The sequence below is a fragment of the Homo sapiens genome, chromosome 11 (assembly GCF_000001405.40).
Source record: "Homo sapiens chromosome 11, GRCh38.p14 Primary Assembly".
Classification (NCBI taxonomy): Eukaryota; Metazoa; Chordata; class Mammalia; order Primates; family Hominidae; genus Homo; species Homo sapiens.
Window position 1 is genome coordinate 16468923 of NC_000011.10, and position 22203 is coordinate 16491125.

The 22203-nt window shown below is 35.5% G+C and overlaps 1 protein-coding gene and 1 pseudogene across 2 annotated transcripts in view, besides 3 other annotated features; both read right to left on the reverse strand.

Moving 5' to 3' along the window:
- Positions 1-22203, reverse strand: part of SOX6 (SRY-box transcription factor 6) — a 772029-nt gene that overhangs the window by 502474 nt on the left and 247352 nt on the right. Inside the window, exon 1 of one of the 2 annotated variants that reach the window (NM_033326.3) lies at positions 7393-7466. The exons of the other annotated variant lie outside the window; for it this stretch is intronic. The gene's annotated coding sequence lies outside the window, so the exon portion shown is untranslated. Of the gene's footprint in view, positions 1-7392; positions 7467-22203 lie in introns of those variants that run through there. 2 annotated transcript variants of the gene reach the window in all.
- Positions 7449-8565: a promoter, noted in NCBI's record as "-1116 promoter". NCBI's record gives the evidence for it as "EXISTENCE:reporter gene assay evidence [ECO:0000049][PMID:20852263]".
- Positions 8197-8232: a promoter, noted in NCBI's record as "1116-S6 fragment". NCBI's record gives its function as "has promoter activity in vitro" and the evidence as "EXISTENCE:reporter gene assay evidence [ECO:0000049][PMID:20852263]".
- Positions 8201-8231: a protein binding site, noted in NCBI's record as "SOX6 site". NCBI's record gives its function as "negative regulation of transcription" and the evidence as "EXISTENCE:protein binding evidence [ECO:0000024][PMID:20852263]".
- Positions 14440-15787, reverse strand: AKR1B1P3 (aldo-keto reductase family 1 member B1 pseudogene 3; annotated as a pseudogene).

Genomic DNA, 22203 nt, shown 5'->3' on the forward strand with positions numbered 1-22203 from the left:
AAATTTTGAAAATGTTCCACCGCGCATGTTTCAAATGCTTCATGACTATCACTGATAATTGAGCAATTAACTTGAAATTACCAAATGTGCTGTGGTGGCACAATATGTAGTAAGCAACATGGAAGAATAAAGAACAGAGGAACTTGGTACAGCGAAAAAAAAAAAAGTAATAAAGTGTAAAATAGGCCATAATAATAATAATAGTAACTGAGTAAATTTTAATGGTCCCAGGTCTCAGTGGTTTAATAGTGCCAGTAAAATGGTTTAATGAAACAAGTCCAGAGTATTAACAAACTTTTTAGAGCAGTTTGTTCTGGTGCTACAAAAACGAAGCCTCTTTCTAACTGGCCTTGTGCAATATTCAGGGACTGGTCCAAAAAGTAAGTGCAGGAGTTTCATTAGACAACAAGCACAAAACAATTAGGTTAAAAACTCTGACAGATTCTTAAGAAATACAAGCTTGCAAAAAAGAGATGTAAGGTCTTACTTTAAATGTTAAGACAGACAAAGCAAAAATTCTAGGGTTAAAGATGACCTCAAAAAGTCATCAAGCTATTGTGAACCTATTTGCAAATCAAAAATTAAGACACATGGCTTAACATGAAGACTGAAAGATAAAACTCAGCTATACTGGAAAAACCAGAATTCCTCTTCACTGTTTATTCCATTAAGGTCTCCAACAATGGGCTTTTCTGACTAAAACCATAGTATGACAATAAAGAGTAGCATTTTTGTCCTTAAACACAGTCAGTGAAGCAAATTTCATACACCTAAATCCTACCTTATTTTGGTGGCAGGCCATTTTAAAGGTTTGCAAGAAAAAACAGTAATTCAGAAAGTCAGAGAGGGAAAAAAAGATTCAAAACTACAGCAAATAAAAAGCACTATTAAAAATATTTTTTTCTCAAAATTCCATCAATACAGCTCCAAAACACCACTAAGAGATTAAAAATAGGCCAGGCTGTCCTTTCAGGTATAAATTAGAAACAGAAAGTAGAGAGGGCAAAAAGAACAAGTATCTAAGGGACCTAGTATATAAAATTTAAAAGCTTAAAATGTAATGGGTATACACATTCAGATTAGCAAACTCCTTTCAATTAAAGTAGATTTCTGGCCACATTTCACAAATGTATAGTAGCTGTGTGTATTAATGTAGATACTTCAAATGTCAGTATATCTCTAATTAACATGAGCACACAACTGTAAAACTGAGAAGGCACAATTTTAAATTCCTTACATTCCCAGCATTAATGCTTTCATGGGGCAGCTCCCGTTGTCATGGAAAATGGCATTCAAGCCCTATTTGTGGATTTTCACAGCTCATCTTTTTTATTTACCTGCTCTATGTCAAGATTAGCCTGGAATAATATTTTTTAAAGATAACGCACTTAGACCTACTTGTCCTTAAAATCACAGATATTCTCACTGAGGGATCTTTGGTCTGGGCTATGCTCAGTTTTAAACAGATTTCTTTCCATTTTAAAATGCCACAAAGACATGATTTTGTGATTTTTGTTTGTTTGCTTCCCTAAAAATCTATGTAATTCAAAAAATTTCAGCTGAAGCATGACATGTGGCAATTTTGGAATAGAGGAGTAGGAAAATATCAGGGAGGACCAAATGGTCCAGGAACCTGAGGAAATGAAGTCAGTGGTAGAAGCGTCTCTACAATCTCCTCCCCGACTTAGTCTATCTCAAAATTTCAAAAATATTTATACAGCAACCAAGTGAAGACTGAGATAGTGATCAAAAACAAAAGAGAGCTGAAATTCTCTCTGAAAGAGGAAAGCACGGTGTTGTGAAAGGAGCACTAAATTTATACCATGAATTCAAGGTTTGAATCCTGCTACTCTGCAAAAATAAAGATAATTCCTACTCATTCCACAGAGTTTTCATGAAATTCAGCCAATTAAATGTCTGCAGAATCAAGTGTTATACTATCTTAATATTCTGTTGGTATTATTATTGCCTCAAGCCTAGAGTTAGGCAATAATCACTTTTTGTACCACACAATAAAATCCTTGTCAGAAACATCAGGAAAAAGATTGCTATTAGAGACCATGAGTCAAGATAGAATTTTTTAAAGGAATTCATTATCAAATTACTAAAAAGACTTGGGTAACCTGAAAAAGCAGGGTAGCTAATAAACTATGTCCGATTTTTTTTTTGTTTTTTTTTTAACCCATCATTTACTGCTCTGGTAAAATTAAACGGTCAGAATTACATAATTATTTTTCATTAGAGATAAGAAAAAATCAAATGTGAGATAAGAACATGCAAAATAAGGCAATCTTCCACAATGCTTACTTTAGGAAAAGAAAAAAAGGAAGTTTTACTTTTTTAAGAGAAAAAAAACACTAGAATAAGATGCAGCTTCTGAAGAGACAGCCATTTTCCTTCACAGTGTTTTCCTCTTCCGGCCTAGGTAGTTGATTTGAGTAGCTAAGATTCCAGTCAGTTCTCACACACTTTTGGTGTAGCCCATTCATTATGGATGTGCAAAACAATATCCCACCTTCCTTATCTCACAGACAGACTTGCACACCTTACTAAGAAACCTTCCCATGGCCATGAGGTATAACTTTCTGCCTTAGATCATGTAGCAAATAAGCAGTTGTAGGACATGGAAATTAAGGTTCATAAAAGAAGTAATTGTCACTGAACCCATTTGCCTGTTCTTAGGCCTGACTAGACAAATATTTCTATCGTTTTAGAAGCCTCATCTTTCAGTCTAAGTGGTTGAACAGTTTCCACAACAAATGAGAGAACTAGAAACTCAGGAATTTTGGATGCCATGTTAATTTCATCTGACTTATCTTAGTCATAGTATCCGGCTATATTTCTTTAACCAAAAGGTTCTGCAGTCAGGAGACAGCCCTAGCAAAACCTGAGATCACTGACCAAAGGAACACCAAAGCCCATGCCCTAAACAAGCATATGTAAATTCTCAAGACCAGAAAATAATTGCTTTAAGCCTGTATGACTAGCATGACATGTGCCTAAGTGGCCAGACAAAATCTGACTAAAAGATGTTTGGTTTTTTGTTTGTTTGTTTGAAGTGGAACTCCAGAAATAACCATACAGAAACGACATCAACAGTGCCCCTTCTAATTTTAGCCTTTCCCTTTGTTAAGTCAAAAGAAAGTGATCAGCTACTTGGATCACCACCATTCAAAGTTAGTCTAAATGTGTCTTGATGGAGGGAATAAAGTGAAGAATTCAGGAAAAAGATCCTTTGGGTGATAAGAAATGTAAACTATATTTTAATGAAGGCCATCTTGGTTTGAAATGCTGGTAATTATATTTGTCACATTAAAAACTTTACTCATCCTGAAAACTTACTAAAGCGAATGACTAAATAATATGAAAGAAGAGAGAAAGGAGGTAAAAAAGAGACAAAGCAACTAAGATAAGATTTGGACAGCTCAGAATTATTTCCCTTCACTCAGATTTCCAGTAGAATAAGTTCGGTTCCTTAGAATCCTGTTTTCACAAAGAGCCCTTCAAAGATACTTTATATTTCTTTCTCCATCTTCTTTGCTTCCTAATCCTCACCACAATACCTTGCATAAATTAAAGGCTTATGTTTAATCCAAATGACCCCACAGTTTATATAATTTTGTGCTTTACATAAGACTTACATCTAAAAATAATAAAATGTAAATTGATAGAGTTTCATAAAATAACAATTTATTATTAAAACATTAAAAATACATAAAATGTATTAAACTATATTAAACATGAACATCTATTTTTTTAAGCTGGTTCAAAATGCCTATCCTAATCAATACTATTATTAAAAGAAAGGTAAAGCTGGTATTAAATAAATTTTCAATAGCTCTGCTTAAATAGAGAATCACTTAAACTCTAATTTATAACATTACTTATTTCAAATAATTTCCTAGAAGTATATTCTTTAAAATTCCTTTATAGCAGTACACTAACAAAGAAAAAGTTTCCTGTGTCTTTGCTGTTATCAAATGTAAAAAAGCCCCTTAAATACCAACAGTTTACAACAATGTATACATACACATATATTTTAAATGCAAGTTACTTAAATGTAGGTTTACATCCACAGAGACATTTTTAATACCTGCTACATACTCTATAGCACTTCTATATAATATATATTGATTAATTTCAAGTACTTTAATAGGTTTTTAAAGTTCATTCAATTTTTTTCTTGAAATTTGCCTTCTTTATTTATAAAAAGTACCTTTGTTCTCCAAAATATTATTTAAAATATAATGGTGTTTTGCAGATGGGGAAGAGTATAGTATGCCTTAGTATAGGCGTGCCTTGAAGATATTGCAGGTTTGGTCCAGACCACTGCAATAAAGCAAATGTTGCGATAAAGCAAATCACGCAAACGTTTTGGTTTCCCAGTGCATATAAGTTATGTTGACACTATACTGTACTCTGGTAAGTGTACAATGGCATGAAGTCTAAGAAACAATGTATATACCTCAATTAAAAATACTTTATTGCTAAAAAATCATAATGATCATTTGAGCCTTCAGCAAGATAATCTTTTTGATGGGTGGAGGCTCTTGTTTTGATGTTGATGGCTGCTGACTGGTCAGGGTGGTAGTTGCTGAAGGTTGGAGTGGCTGTGGGCTGTGACAATTCCTTTTTTTTTTTTTTTTTGAGATGGAATCTTGCTCTGTCGCCCAGGTTGGAGTGCAGTGGCATGATCTTGGCTCACTGCAACCTCCGCCTCCTGGGTTCAAGCAATTCTTCTGCCTCAGCCTCCTGAGTAGCTGGGACTACAGGCATGCACCACCACGCCTGGCTATTTTTTGTATTTTTAGTAGAGATGGAGTTTCACCATGTTGGCCAGGCTGGCCTCGAACTCCTGACCTTGTGATCCAACTGTGGCAATTTCTTAAAATAAGACAATGAAGTTTGCCTCATTGACTCTTTCTTTACAAAATATTTTTCTGTTACATACAATGCTGTTTGATAGCATTTTACCCACAGCAGAACATCATTCAAAGTTGGGTCAATCCTCTCAAACTCTGCTGCTGCTTTATCAACTACATTTATGTAATATTCTAAATCCTTTGTTGTCATTTAAACAATGTTTACAGCATCTTTCACCAGGGTAGTTTCCAACTCAAGAAAGTACTTTCTTTGTTCATTTTGAAGAAGCAATTCCTCATCTTCTCAAGTTGTATCATGAGACTGCAGCAATTCAGTCACATCTTTAGGCTCCACTTCTACTTCTAATTCCACTTCTCTTGCTATTTCTACTACATCTGCAGTTACCTCCTCCAATGAAGTCTTGATCCCTTCAAAGTCATCCATGAGGGTTGAAATAAATTTCTTTCAAATTCCTCTTAATATTGCTATTTTTACTTACCCCCATGAATCACAAACATTCTTAATGGTATCTAGAATGGTGACTCCTTCCTAGAAAGTTTTCAATTTACGTTGCCCAGATCAATTAGCAGAATTACTATGTATGGCAACTACAGCCTTACAAAATGTACTTCTGAAATAATAAGACTTGAAAGTTGAAATTACTCCTTGATCCATGGCCTACAGAATGGATGCTCTGTTAGCAAGCATGAAGACAACAATAATCTCCATGTACATCTCCATCTGAGCTCTTGATGGCTAGGTGCATTATCAATGAGAAATAACATCTCTAAGGGAATCTTTTTTTCTGAGTAGTATGTCTCAACAGTGGGCTTAAAATACTCAGTAAACCATGCTATAAACAAGTGTGCTGTCACTCAGGCTTCCTTATTCCATTTGTAGAGCACAGGCAGAGTTAATTCCTAAAGGCCCTAAGATTTTCAGAATAGTAAATAAGCATTGGCTTCGACTTAAATTCACCAGCAGCATTAGCCTCTAACAAAAGAGTCCACTTGTCCTTTGAAGCCAGGCGCTGACTTTTCCTCTCTGGCCATCAAAGTCCTAGATAGCATCTTCTTCCCATATAAGGCTGTTTCATCTACACTGAAAGTCTGTGGTTTGATGTAGTCACCTTCATCAATGGTCTTACCTAGATCTTCTGGATAACTTGCTGCAGCTTCTCCATCAGCACTGGCTGTGTCACCTTCACTTTTATGTTAAGGAGACTGCTATTTTCCTTAAACCTTGTGAACCAATCTCTGCTAGCTTCAAACTTTCTTCTGCAGCTTCCTCCCTTCTCTCAGCCTTCACAAAAATTGAAGAGAGTTAGGGCCTTGCTCCGGATTATGCTTTGGCTTAAGGGAATGTTGTGGCTCATTTGGTCTTCTATCCAGACTGCTCAAACTTTCTCCATATCAGCAATAAGGCTATTTTGCTTTCTTATCATTCATAATTAACTGGAGTAGCACTTTGCATTTCCCTCAAGAACTTTCCCTTTGCATTCACAACTTGGCTAACTGGTACAAGAGGCCTAGCTTTTGACCTGTCTCAGCTTTCAACATGCCTTTCTCACAAAGTTGTCATTCGTAGCTGTTGATTTAATGTGAGACTTTTATGTGCTGCTCTTCCTTTCATTTGAACACTTAGAAGTCATTGTAGGGTTATTAATTGGCCCAATTTCAATATTGTTGTGCCTCAGAGAACAGGGTGGCTCAAGGAGAGGGAGAGGGATGGAAGAACAGCCAGTTGGTGGAACAATCAGAATACACACAATACACACAAGTTTGCCACCTTATTTGGGCTTGTTTGGTGCGGCCCCATAATAATTACAATAGTAACATCAAGATCACTAATTATAGATCGTCATAACAGACATAATAATAATGAGACAGTTTGAAATATTGTGAGAATTATGAAAATGTAACAGAGAGACATGAAGTGAGCACATGCTGTTGGAAAAATGGTGCCGATAGACTTGCCCAATGCAGGGTTGCCATAAACCTCTAATTTGCTTAAAAAAAAATCTGCAAAGCACAATAAAACAAAGTGCAATAAAACGAGGTATGCCTGTACATTATCTCCTCATGTGCTGACAGCTCTTTGAATTCTACATTGTCTCACATCTTCTCTATGGGCATAGGCACATAGCACTTTTCAAGTACAGACAACCAGAAGACTATCAGAAGTTATCAGTGTAAATTATTCACGTGTATATAGACTAGACTCTTTAAGATAACTCATTCCTACAATTGAGCCCTATTCTCAAAGAGTAAGATAGTTATTCTTTAAACTTATTATAATGGGCCCTGCATTGTGTTATTTCACTGGAAATTACAACAAATTGAGGCTTCTTTACCAGCTGGTACTTTTCTCTATGCTCCTCCTAAGAAAACACTTATCAAAAAATAATAATTACAAAACAATTGCAAAAAAACTAATAAAAATTCACACGCACTAGGAGTTAAGAACTTGTTTACAAACTGTAACTGTTTCATTACACAATGAGAAAAGTAAAGATAAACCAATACTTACAAATATGCACAAAAAATATCAGCCCCAGCACCCAGAAATCACTGGTAAATTGCCTTTGAATTCATGAAAGTGACCTGAAAATTTAATAGAAAATGAAATAAAAAAGGATAAGTAAATTGCATTTATATGCTTTATTAAAGAAGTATACTTTCTGGCTACAAATCATACAATTTTTAACTCATGCAGTTGTCCCCATCTACTTTAACAACTTTTTCCAAAATGATAATGCCAAAAGAAACAATTATTTCATGGTTCTACATCTAAGAATGCCACATTTCCATCCAATATTGCTCTTTTAAAAAAATCGGTAATAAAGTAGGTGATAAAAATACAAATAAGTAAGAACAAAAGGGAAAAAATTTTTAAGAGAAAGAAAGAAACAGGCTTATAATTTATATTTGAAAAACATTTAATTTATGTCTGCAAGTTGAAATGAATTAGCTTCACAGAGAATATCTTAAATGTGCCTGACAGGAATACCTTGTAGGTAGAATTAATAAGAAAGAATGCAGTGTTTGTTCTACCTAAGGCGTGGAACCCATAAGATGCTTAGGCTATATACAATGCATTCTGTATAAGCCATAATTCAATCCAAAATTGTTTTGCTCACATATACTTTAGTTCTGGCTGAAGAGGTAACAGATGCAACTCAAACACACAGAGCTAGCCTTATACAAATTTTTAACATACAAAGAGTCATTTTATGCCTCTACATGCCTATGATTTTCTCTATCCAGGACCCCCATGCATTAAGGTGGTTTGGTAGTTTATTTTTATTGTTTGGTCTAAATACAGCATATTTTTAGTTCCATTAAAACAAAGAAACTTTGTTACAGAGGCTGTATTCTTTCAAAAATGTGAGCATGGCTGTGAGTAGTAGTCAACTAAAAATAATAATAGAGCTTGGGTTCCTAAATTAGGTCAGAAACTTTCCTAGGCTCTGGGGACTGGCTTGATTCAATCTGCAGTTTTTAAATATAGCCAGCAAATATCTAGGTTAGTTACAGCTAACTAGATTTAAATAAAATCCTTCTGAAAAACAATGGATCTTGATCAACATCATTTGTAGGAACCACTGCACCCAACTTGCAATTATAGCACAAATGACCTTAATAGATTAGGTATAGGCATCTGAAATTAAGATGAATATGAAATAAATATCTAACTCAGCCCTCTTCAACCCCTAAAATATGCTTTTACCTAAATGATCCAGGTAATTTATTCTATTTTCTAGTCAAGATTTATAGATAATAGAGCCAGGTGCAGTGGCTCACGCCTGTAATCCCAACAGTTTGGGAGGCTGAGGCGAGTGGATTGCTTGAGTCCAGGAGTTCAAGACCAGCCTAGGCAACATCTCTAAAAAATCTCTAAAAAAAGTTTTTTTTTAAATCTTTTTAAAGATTGATAGATGATAAAGGTGTGGGCATTTGGACAGCTTTAAGCATCAACAGCTAACATACCCATTAGACTTCTTCACTAGACCTTCTTGTCCTTGTAGGAAATGGTGCCTCAGGGCTTCTCCAGTTTCACCAGTTTCCAGCAACTCTAACGCCTACTTCCACAGTGCAAGAAGTACAGGACAGTCTGGCTAGCTCTGTCATTAATTGTTGGTATTATACCCTTTTCTTCCTCATTGCCTCTGCTGTTTAGGGATCTGGGAGAGTAATTTTATCTGGGACACCAGACAAGCCTACCTGGACACACTGTGTGTATTATCCAAAACCATCAAAGAGTACTGGTTCTGATTCAAACCATCCTCACGTGCTATCCCCCGCTGAGTTATAAATTATAATTTCCTTATAAAGAAGTTACCCACAAAATAAATTTTATAGCAAAATGCTGTATATCCAAAAGTCTAAATTCTAGAAGAATCCGAAAGAGTTTTTAGTACTTATACATTTTAAAATACCACACCTTGTTTTTCTGGCAACTACTTTTTTAAAAGCATTAATTGGAATTATGCAAGATACATGATACATCCTATTCCTTCACTTCCACATAAAGAATGGGGAGCTAAAAGAAAATGTGACCAGAAAATATTGTGGTTAGCATAGATTTAATTTTTTAATCAATGAACTATCTTGAATTAAGATCTCTAACTCTAGAAATATTTTTAATTTTGGAACAAGTCAGATTCCAGACATTTAGAACAAATAATATTTTCACATACACCAATACAAAGTCAATAAATCTTATTCATCATATCAGTCCAGTCGTGCTACATATGTTAAAAGCAACTGTGAATCTCATTATCAATGGATTTGCACTATTGGTGAAATTTACAGCAAAGAATTAAAAAATAATAAGTTCCTATGGTCAAAGAGTTCATCATTATATAATTTTAAAAATGACTTTAATGCATAGTTCTGCATGCAGTTAACTGAAGGCTAAACAAGCAACATTTTATGAGGGGCAAAGAGTTAAGAATTAATATATACACAACTTGAAATAGGTACCTTTTTAAGAACTAGAAAAGTTTAGTCTTAAAAAGACATTTCCAAAAACAAAAGCAGTCACTATGGTCCTGATGGCAGCACAAATGTGAAAAGATAGAGAAGGAAATGCCAGAGCAAATCATTACGTGTTCTGGAAAATCTCAATCTGTTTGGTAAAATGAATCCTCAGAACGCCTAATCACCCATGGATTGTTCCAGTTCTCTATTTGCTCATTTATACATTCAGCGAAGAGTGACCATGGGTTAAAGATCACACTGGACAGTAAGAACACAAAAATTTAAATTAAAAAAAATAATGGCCTTTCCCATCAAGGATTTCAAACAATCAATAATCCAACCTGGGTCACAGTCTATTACACATCTGACCATGGTGGTAATTTGTTCCATAATATTTAGTCATCAAGTCTTTGATATATTCTTAATGTACTAAATAAAAAATGCATTGCTACAAATACTTCAATATAACAATGCACAAGGGGCCAAGAGGGGTGGCTCATGCCTGTAATCCCAACACTTTGGGAGGCTGAGGCAGGCGGATCACTTGAGGCCAGGAGTTTGATACCAGCCTGGCCAACATGGCGAAACCCTATTTCTACTAAGAATACAAAAATCAGCCGGGTGTGGTGGTGCACACCTGTAATCCCAGCTACTCAGGAGGCTGAGACATGAGAATCACTTGAACCTGGGAGGCGGAGGTTACAGTGAGCCAAGATTGCGTTACTGCACTCCAACCCGGGCAACGGAGTGAGACTCTGTCTTAAAAAAAAAAAAAAAAGAACAAGGGATACAAAGAAGAAATGTACAAATGAAGAAATGCAAATGTCCAATAATATAAAAATGTATACATTAAAAATTAGGAACCTCCCAAATAGCCAAAGAAATGTAAATAAAATGTTTTCACTCATAATATTGGCAAAACGTTTTATAAACTGGACAAAAACTGGTATTGGTGAGAGTGTGGAAAAATAAGCACTTTCATATACTATTGATGGGATTATAAATGTATGACTTTTCTGAATGGCACTTTTACAATAAGTTTTAAAACTTTTACTGTCTATATCCTTTGAGATTTCAACGCTACTTTCAAAAATTATCTTAAAGAGCTCATTATAAATATGATAAAAGATACATTTAATATGTATGTTCACTACAGTTTTTTATAATAGCCAAAATTAGGAATAACCTATTGATTGAATAAGTAAATTGTGCTACATACATATAACACTACTCTGTAATTATTAAAAATCATTATATAAATCTATATTTATTGACAAAAAAGATGGCCACAATATATTGTTGAATAAAAAATATGTGTATAATAAAAGCCCATCAATTTATAGAATATCAAATACTTATGTGAAAATCAAATATATATGCATGTATAAGTTTCACAAAATATAATTTAACAAAAATGTTAACATTGGGCAGGGTGCCATAGGTTCTTTTTACTTTATTACCCTTATGGTTTGATATTATTTAGATTTTTTTATACTTAGCATGTCTAATGTATGCCAAAATGAGGAAGATATTTCTAAAATTCAGTATATCACTTAGACATTCAAAAGAAATGACCCAGATCTAGGATAACTTGCTATTAGTCTGGGAGCAAAAGCCAAATATTAATATTAGTTTAAAAAACCCTCAAAATTACAGGGCAACTTCAAATGAGTATCTTAACATCAAATGAAGAAACCATAAACATTTTCACAAAAGCATGTCCCACTCTACCAAAAATAGGTAATAGATCAAAGGTAAATAGCAAATAAAAACATTGCCACCTCCCTGTATAATTAGACTTTAAAAGCTTTCAAGCTACATTTTTAAATCCTGCTTAAAAGTCTGTCTTTAAGCCACACCCATTTCTGTTTTTAGTAACCCCCCCCCCACCTTCTTTTTATTATGTGAGTTAGCAAGAAAGTTCAAGTATCAAATGGGTGGTTGGATTAAATGACCTTACAGCCCTGAGACTCAATGATTCTAAGGTATTATTTAAAGAACTAAAGTGCTTCCAAAACACCTGTAACAAATTTTGTCCACTTTTACATTAAATCATAGCACTGCATGATTAAAACTGAAGTCAAGAATTAAATAACTTTTTAAAATTTATTGATGCATTGATTTTACTAATATTATACATAGTGAGCCACTGAATTAAAACAACTGTCTTCAACGCATTTATCTTCTCAACTAACTTTTAGGAAAATATCGATGCCTGGTCTTTTATATATCAGAATAAAAATTACACATTAAAAATATCCTGTATGCAAATTCAAGTGGGTTTTGCAGGAGATGTGATTGTTGCATTAAAACTATTGCTATTTCCTCCAAAGCTCCATCAATTTAAAAATTTCAATTCTTCACTGTTATTATCACTTTTTTTGCTTGCAGCTTTACTAGATTAAACCCATGTTTATTGAACTCCATAATGCTTAGTTTTCTTTTTCCTTAATAATCATATTAAATTATGCAGAATTTGAATTAACTATAAATAATAAAATGTGAAATTTGACTTTCAGTAGGACTGACATTAAGCTAATGTCCAGTATTTTTTTTAAATGCAGTTGTTAATAATTTAAAACATCACAGTACTGAATAGAAAATTATGTCTTCTAATGCAAAAGGTTAGAGTATTTGTGAGGTATCAAGGAAGACAACTTAAGATGCTACCTAGTCCACCACTCTGCTGTTCTGGAAGAACTTCCTTCCTCAAAGAAATAGGAATTTCTCCTATTCTTAAAGATCTCCAAAGGTAGTTATTATTGAAGCTACCTCATAATAGCCTATTCATGTATTCCATGCTGCTCAACCTATATCTCTTCAATATTATTTTGGTATTGAGGGCCACACTTAGAAGGGACATTGACAAAGCATTCAGAGGAGAATGGCTAGGAAACTTTATGGAAACCATGTTACAATAGCATGGTTGCATGTTCAATGATGGTGGTTGGAATGAACTTGGAGATCATTGAGTCCAGTGGTTCTCAGACTCTTTGGTCTCAGGACTCCCTTACAGTCCTAAAAATTATTGAGGGTCACAAAGAGCTATTGTTACATTTATCAATACTTACTATATTAGAAACTAAAACTTTAAAGTTTTTAAAGAGTTATTTTAAATAACAATAATAAACCTATTACATAGTATTATAAAGTATTTTATGAAATACAAGCATATTTTCCAAAATAAAAAAAAGAGAGAGAAAACTAACATTGCTTTACATCTTTGCAAATCTCTCAAATGTCTGGTTTAGAAAAAGACAGCTAGATTATCATAGGTGCTACTGCATTCAATCTGTTGTGATATGTTGGTTTGGTGGAAGTATGTGAAAAGTATCCATTTTCACACAGATAGGTAGTTAGAAAGAGGCAGAATGTTTTAATAGCCTTTTCAAATAATTGTGGCTATTCTTTTATATTATATCAAAATTTGACAAGTAATCATTTCTCAAAAGTTAATTGCAATATGGAATCTAAAAATTGAATATCAATAAACTTTTTGTATTCCATTACCGTAAAATCAAATCGCCTTTAAATGGATCTTTTAGCCATGCATGACTTTGTAACATCATACATTAGTTCATTTAAGAAACATTGGCTCACTGAGTTTAAAACATTGACATATTTTATTATGCAATATTGTTAAAACCACGTTTCTTAATATCCACCACCCTATCTTATCAGAAACATTTTTAAGTACTGGGAAGCGATCATGATTGTGGTGGTGGGTAAAAGCTTTGCAAACTACTAATTTGCTCTTGGAAGCTCAAATTTTATTGACAAAAAAGTGTCACTTGTTTTCTACAAAATAGGCAGGCTCACTTTGTTCATTTTTGAGAATATGTCTGCCAAGTTTTTAAGTCTAAATAACCATTGTGTGTTTGTTAGTTGTTCTTTCAAGTAAAAAATGGTGTTCTTTGAAAAAAGTAGTTAGTTCAACTCAATTATAAGTGATTTTCCTCAAGATAACCATCATACTTGAGTATGTAGTGTAAGTGCCTTATACATACTTCACATTTCAGCACACAGAGTATTAAAGAAGGGTCAAGAGTTAATAAAATTAAAATTTTTACTGTTTCATCTACAATGCTTTTAAGTGAAACTGCCTTTTTGTTTGTTTGTTTGTTTGTTTCGTGAGTGGTAATAATAAAGAATTCAATGACTACTAATATCATTTGGTGCCACTGTCTTAATGTGTGCTAAGGCACCAGCAGTTTTAACCCAAAATTGCTATGCATCCTCAATGCAAATGTCAATACAGTGAAAAAAGCAACTAGCAATTTCCCATTACGATGAAAATAGTTTTGACAACACACCCTGTGAAAGGGTCTCAGGGATCTCCAGTGTCCACAGACCACATTTTGATAACCACTGATCTACTCTGATACTCCATTTTGCAGCCAAGGAAATTACCTTAGTTTTTTCAAGCATACAAATAAGAGGCAATTATACCTAGCACAGCAAGTATAATATAGTAAATGCTGATTAAAATTAGTTTCTCTTTCCTCCTTCCCAAAGAAAGAACAATACTTGTGGGTGGAAATTACAAAGTGGTAGGTTTTAGTTCAGTCCAAGATAAATCTTTTTTTTTTCAAGTTCACAAAAGCACTTTTTATTTGAGGCAAAGAGAAGTCTTGCTGAAAGGATTACAGTTACAAGCAGTTAAAACTCAACTGTTAGTGGCACTACTTTAACCTGGTAGATTTTGCTTCCCTTTGGTCAGAAAAGGGTATTCAGGTTGTACTTTCCCCAGCAGGGCAAAAAGAAGGGCAAAGCAAACTGGAAGAGACCTCTATTCTACTGACAGGGCTCCTCAGATCCAACATCAAGCTGGACACACCCTCGCTGGCCACTCTACAGTTTGCTGTCCCACTGCTGAGTGACACAGGCTATACTACATTTGCAATGAAAAAAATGAGGCAGGAAACACAGGTATAGGTCACTTAGGGACAAGCAGGCAACCACAGCTTCAAAACTCTTCATGGAAGGGGTAATCCTTGTGGGAGGCACAGCTCACCAAGGCACAGACCCTCCAGTTCCTGTTGTAGTTGAGTGAGGTGGTCATATCCTGGCTGCTCAGTTCAAAGTTAAAGACCTTAACGTTCTCAGCAAATGCATTCTGGTGTCACAGACTTGGGGATCACCACCAAGTTCCTCTGCATGGGGAGCCAGATCAGGACCTGGGCTGTAGTTTTATTGTGCTTGGCTGTGATCACCTTGATCCTGGGATCCTCCAGGAGGCAAGGTCCTCGGGCTTGGCCCAGGGCCTGTCGGGAGAGCCGAGGGGGCTGTAGGCAGTCACCACAATGCCTTTGGACTTAACTTCTCCTGAATGAGGTACAGGTGACACTCAATCTGGTTAACTGCAGGCTTATCCTTTAAGCCAGGTTTATTTAAGATCCTCTCCACCTGGAAATGGTTGAAGTTGGAGATGCCAATAGCTTTCACCAGCCCTTCATCCACCAGCTCCTCCATGGCTGCCCATGTGTCCAGAATGTTGGTGTCACTGGGAACCACATTGCCCGACTCATCCAATGGGGAAAATTCCCTCCCAGGCTTAAAGCCAGTTGGCCAGTGAATAAGGTAAGGATCCAGGTAGTCCAGCTTCATGTCACTAAGCGTCTTCTGGCAGGCTCCTTTAACCAGGCCCTTCTCATGGTACATGCACCACAGCTTACTGACAATGAAGAGCTCCTCGCACTTCACCACCTGCTCCCTGAGCTTCTCCTGAATGGCCACCTCCACCTCATTCTCATTCTGGTACACATGGGCACAGTCGAGATGGCAGTACCTGACATCAATGGCCACCTTCACAGCCTCAGTCACCTGGCGTGGAGGGGGCTTCCAGGTGCCCAGCCCCAGGATGGACATCCTGGCACCGTTGCTGAGCACGAAGTGGCTGGCCATGGCTGCTGCGCTCCCCAGACTCCCACCCAGAACCGTGCCTAGTTCAGTCCAAGATAAATCTTTTAAAGCAATGAAATAAGTTGCATCATCAAATAGAAGTTGTCAAAGTTGAGACTGCATGACTCTTTACCAAGAATGTTGTGGAAAGAATTCTTATAGAGTTGAACGTTGTACCAAAACTTAGCTGATTATACAATCACCTAAAAAGCTTTTATAAAGTTCAAATTTCTGGGCCCCACTCTAGACCTCCTAAACCAAAATCTCCTTGAGTGGACCAGGAGTTTACATTTTTTTAAAATGTATACTATTCACACCCACTAGGAAGAATACCTTTACACTTTCATGTAACATACCCTAAGCCTACTTTAATAAATTATATGGTCAGGATCAAGACATTTCTGGGTCAAGAGAGGAGGAATTATTGTGGCATTTCCTTAGGCCCACCAGTTCACCTCCGCCAACATGTGTAACTGAATTGTAAATCAGAGATAGGATTGCATAAATTTGACACATTTTTACAACTGCCAACACTTTACTGCTCTCCTGAAAGAATAATTCAATAAGAGCTATCTATGAACAAAGGTGGTCAGCATAAAAATAGTGTCTACACAAAACAAAACAAAAAAAATGAGGGCCAGGTGCAGTGATTCACACCTGTTATCCCACCACTTTGGGATGCCAAAGTGGGAGGGTCGTTTAAGGTGAGGAGTTCAAAACCGGCCTGGACAACAAAGTGAGACCCCCGTCTCTACAAAAGAAATTTAAAAATTAGCCAGGCTGCCAGGTGCAGTGGCTTACACCTGTAATCCCAGCACTTTGGGAGGCCAGGGTGGGCAAGTCATGAGGTCAGGAGTTTGAGACCAGCCTGGTCAACATGGTGAAACCCTGTCTCTACTAAAGATACAAAAAATAAGCTGGGCATGGTGGCACGTGGCTATAATCCCAGCTACTCGGGAGGCTGAGGCAGAAGAATCGCTTGAACCCTGGAGGCAGAGGTTGCAGTGAGCCGAGATCTTGCCACTGCACTCCAGCCTGGGTGATAGGGCAAGGCTCGGTCTCAAAAAAAAAAAAAATTAGCCAGGCATGGTGGCACACACCTGTAGTCCCAGCTACCGAGGAGGCTGAGGCAGGAAGACCACTTGAGCACAGGAGGTTGGGGCTGCAGTGAATTATGATCACGCCACTGCATTCTATCCTGGGCAACAGAGTGAGATACTGTCTCAGAAAAGGGAAGGGAAGAAAAGGGAAGGGGAGGGGAGGGGAGGGGAGAGGAGGGGAGGGGAGGGGAGGGGAGGGGAGGGGAGGGGAGGGGAGGGGAGGGGAGGGGAAGGAAGGGAATATTTAGAAGACCTCCTGTCATTACTTTATAAAGGTATTTTACAAAGGCAGCTTATCATTATGAACCAAGATCAAAATATAGACCACAAACTTCCAAAAACTATTTACAGAATTACCATGTGACTTAATCCATGGTACAGAATTACCATGTGACTTAATACAAAATTTGTATTTTGACGTCTTCACTACAGAAAAATTCCACATACTTCATAAACAGAAGGCAGCAAGACAACCTGACCAAAATCAAATAAAAATTTGGCAGTGGGTAAAAAAGAATATATTTTGTAACTTTTCACTTCATAATCTTGTTCTCCTTTATTCCTTCATGCCCCTTGCTTTTCTTATCAAAATACACTTCTTTGAAATAACACCTATTATTGTCTTTTTTAAGATCTTTTTTTTCTTATAGCCTGTCTGATTTCAGAGATAACAACTTAATAATAGTTTTTAAAAAGGCAAAGAGGGTCCTGTATGAGTAGGACTGGAGAAAAAAAGTCATTATCAAAACATAATCCACAGACTACCTATATTAGAAATGCCTAGAGTGCTTATTAAAATAAAAAAATTGTGGCTGGGTGCGGTGGCTCACGCCTGTAATCCCAACACCTTGGGAGGCCAAGGTGGGCGAATCACTTGAGGTCAGAAGTTTGAGACCAGCCTGGCCAACATGGTGAAACCCCATCTCTACTAAAAATACAAAGATTGGCCGAGCATGATAGTCCCGGCTACTCAGGAGGCTGAGGCAGAAGAATCACTTGAACCTGGGAGGCAGAGGCAGCAGTGAACCAAGATTGCGCCACTGCACTCTGGCCTGGGTGACAGAGCGAGACTCCATCTCAAAATTAAATGTGCACATGTACCCTAAAACTTAAAGTATAATAATAATAAAATAAAAATTTAAAAAAAGAAAATAATTTTAAAGATTATTAGAGCTCCACACAAACCAATCAATTCTATGATACTGAGAATTGGCCCATGAATCTAATTTTAAGCATTGTCCTCAGGTAATTCCTAGCACACTAAAATTCAAAAACTCCCGGGCTAAAGAGTAACTGTGCTAAATGTGGGCATGCTCACAAAAACTTGTATGGAAAAATGAAAATTTTGTAACTCTGTAAAATGTCTTATTTTACAGAAAAGATTCTCAATGATTTTGGAGTTTCTGTTTTTTAACAATAAAATAATGATTTTTTAAAATATAAGGAGGTATTAGAAACTAGACATGGAATTTAGCTAAAAAATTAAGTCTTAGTTATTGCAGGGTGCTTTTTTTAAAAATCTGAGATAAAGATACAAGCAAGTCTTCAGCAATTCAATTAATATTTCTGAGAGCCCACAGGATGAATGGCATGAATAGGAATTTCTAGGGATATAGGACAACAAAGCATAATCCCAGACCTCCAGGAATGACCATTTGGATTCATTGTAAGATAGATGCCATAGTTAGAAGAGTCTTGCATTTGCAGTGCACTATCATATCCAGAAAGAGGAGAGGATTCCTATCCTTGCTGAGTTTTCTCTTCCTGAGTTCTGCTCACAAAATGGAGTAACAGTAGAGTGGCAGAGATTTAAAAAGCAATCATTTAACAAAATCTTGCAAATAAATTCTAATTTTTAAGTCCATACCTCTTTTTAATCAGCGTATTTTGTATAGAGCAGACGTATAGAAAAAACTAAGGCAGGGCCATTATTTGTACTTGTTCTAGATAATTAAATCAAGATAAATTTAAAGGCAGCTAAAGATGGTCAATTTTAATCCTCATTTTTTAAAAGTCTTCTTGTTACCACTCTCAGTACCACGCCCTCTTAACCACAAATAATGACTTCAGTAATGGAGCTCTGTAATTTAAAAGTATCAGGCAAATAACAGCAAGTAACTTAGATGAGTTGACACCGCCTGTTGTGCAAATATGTACTTAGACTACTATAAAAATAACAACTGCATTATCAACTGGATACAGACCAGAACAACTTATGGGAATACAGAGAGTCAACATAGTCTCAACTTGCATGTATGTGGCACTTTACATTTTTCAAGCATTTCTAAATTCACGGTAGAAATTAAAAGGAAGAGAGATGCTGAAACAAAAGAAAAATAAAGATTTGATAACTATGGGCTAATTATCTAAGAGTCCCAATTCCTAGAGTAAATCATCCTTACTCATCACTTACTGGATGTTTACTCTGTGCCAGGCACTGTGTTAAGCCCTGAGAAAACAAAAATGAATGCAGTAGAGTTGGTGACTTCAAGGAGTTCACAGCCTAGTAAAGAAGACAAATAATTACAGCTTTGCATGAAATGTGTAAAGAGAAGAAAGCAGATTGTAAAACTATATAATCTCACTTTCTAAAATAAAAAAAAATACTTTTAAAGATGAGGATGTTAACATTTACCTCCCAAAGTTTTTGTGGGGATTTGATATATGAAAATGCTTCCTAGATGGGGTATGCCTTCCATAAATGTATTTCCCTTTTTGCTTTTTCCCTAAGACTCAGATGAAATGAGCTCAAGTCACATCTTAGGTGATGTGGTGGCTAGTATAGTCATCCACTTTTTAAAGAGGAATGCCTTAAGGGTACAAGACCCTACAGTTGTGACTTTAGTAATGCTACCACATTATCACACCTAACAAATAAACACTGTAGACCCACTAGGAGCTTAGTTGCACACTACAGGTTAGTCCTTCTCAACCTTACCTTAGGTCTTTTGCTCACTCTCAAAAACAAAGAAACAAAGAGGATCACGTGGAGAGATCCTGCTTATCATTTTACTGTATCTTCTTCATAACAATTTGAAGATTCCACTTTAAAGTCCAGACAAGATCTGGCCTAGCCTCAGAGGTTGCCTCACATTCTAAGTAAAAATATCAGGGATAGCACAGTGAAATGTGCCCAAGTTTACAGGCAAGGAAACAGACATACAACTCACTTAGGACCACATGACAAGTTGCTGACAGAGCTTTCATTTTAAGTCAGAGTTTTCCATCACTAGGTACATGATGTAAAGCCAAAAAGGGGGGATAAAAATTATATTCACACACTTTTTAAAAAATAATAAAAGACTATGTTCTTAGGAAAAGGACTGAGAGGAATAAGCTGTTAACAAAGGCTGCCATTGGGCATGGGACAATAGGTAAACACTTTCCATTTTTCACATTTTTCTAAATTTCCTTAATGCTGAACATTTGAAATTGGAAAAAATAAATTAAGCAAAAAAAAGTATGCAGTTCTACTATTTTATACAGAGTTCACACTTGCAAAGGTCACAATCTTCAGCAACATTCAGAGTATTTTCTAAATTGTCATTAACATGCAAGTAAATCTTCTAATTAATAATGTGAGTTCTATATCCTACATCCAAAAATAAGGGAAAGTTTAAAATACAGCCCACTCACTAGGCATAATATTATGTCATTATGTGGTTATTAAAACTTTTATTTGGAATCCTAGACAACAGCATGAGGAAACATTTATGGTATGTATCTACTGTATTATATAATAGACATAGTCAATAGAGTTATCTAACTATCTTTAAATCAGCAATATTCCTCTGAAAGTATGGTCTGAGATAGATTAACTACTTTTTCCTTGATAAATAACTTCAATTTCCTTATCTATAAAATGCAACACAGATTCATTGCTAAAATTGAATGAGATAACATGTAAAGCAATTAGTACAGTACCCTGGCACTTAACAGGTATACTTAACATAGCTAACCTCTTAGAGTAACAATGGCAAAGTATGAGTTTTTTAACTTTCTTAACTTTTTGTTCCATTACTTCACACTCTACCAAAACAACAGGAACCAGAAGGCAGTCTAGTATACTGAGAAAGTGAAGGCTAGGAGGCAGATCTAGCTTCAAACCCTGGTTCTGACATTTGCTAGATATGTAACCATGGGCAATTATTTAATTTCTCTGCACCTTAGTTTCCTCATTTGTAAAATAAACACAATCTCATCTCACCTACCTTAAAAGATTTTTAGGATAATAAAATGAGATTATCTACATAAAATATCTAGCAACATATTGAGCCCACAAAGTAATAAGTGTTCAATAATTTTTGGCAATTATTAGCAGGAAAATAATTGCCAAATTTTCTGTAAAAAGCCAGATAGTAAACAATTTAAGCTTTGATAGCCATATGGTCTCTCTACTCAACTCTGCCATCATAGAGCAAAAGCAATTATAGAAATTACATATATAAGTGGGCATAGCTGTATTCCAATAAAATTTTATTTACAAGAACAGGTAGTGTGCCAGATTGGGCTCCTTTGATATAGTTTGCTTAACCCTGCTTTAATAGACTCCCCAACTGGAGATATCTAAATAGCTCTCTTATCTATGACCCCCTAGGTATACTCCTTTAATAATCATATATATATTTTAGATCACTATTTTGCAAAGTGTGTTCTATATACCACTTGTTTCCTGAGATATTAATATATACTATGCCTTGATAAAATTCTATGTTCACATAAGTTTAGAAAGTTCTGAGTTAAATAGATTTTAGTTTTGGTGCAAGCACTAACCAAAAGAAAACTATAATATCAGACAAAAAAGGGTTAAAGGCAAAGAGTATTATTAGAGATAAAGATAATAGTAACAGTAATAGTAATGATTAAAAAGTCAATTCATCAATAAGATATAACAGTTCTAACTTTATATAAACTTAATGCCATATTCTCAAAATATTTAGCTAAGCTTGCCAGAAGTATAAGAGAAGTCCATAACTGAAAGTAAAAATTTTAAAATATTCTCTGGATAAATGATAAAATAAGTAGACTTTTAAAGGCAGAAAAATATAAAAGACTTAATTAATATCATCAACAAATTTGACCTAATTGACATATTTATAATGGTACACCCAACAACTGCAACAAGTGCACAAAAAACAGTATTTTTAAGCAAACATCATACCATGATTCTTATTAATAAAATGTCAACAGCATTTTCTTTGAGATACAGAATGCAACAAAGATGCCCACTACTTCTATTTTCAACATTGCATTGGAAGTATTAGACAGTACAATTAGACAAGAAAAATACATGCAAAATATAAAAATTTAAAAGAAGAAATCAAATTGTCAGAATTTGTAGATGATATGATTATATA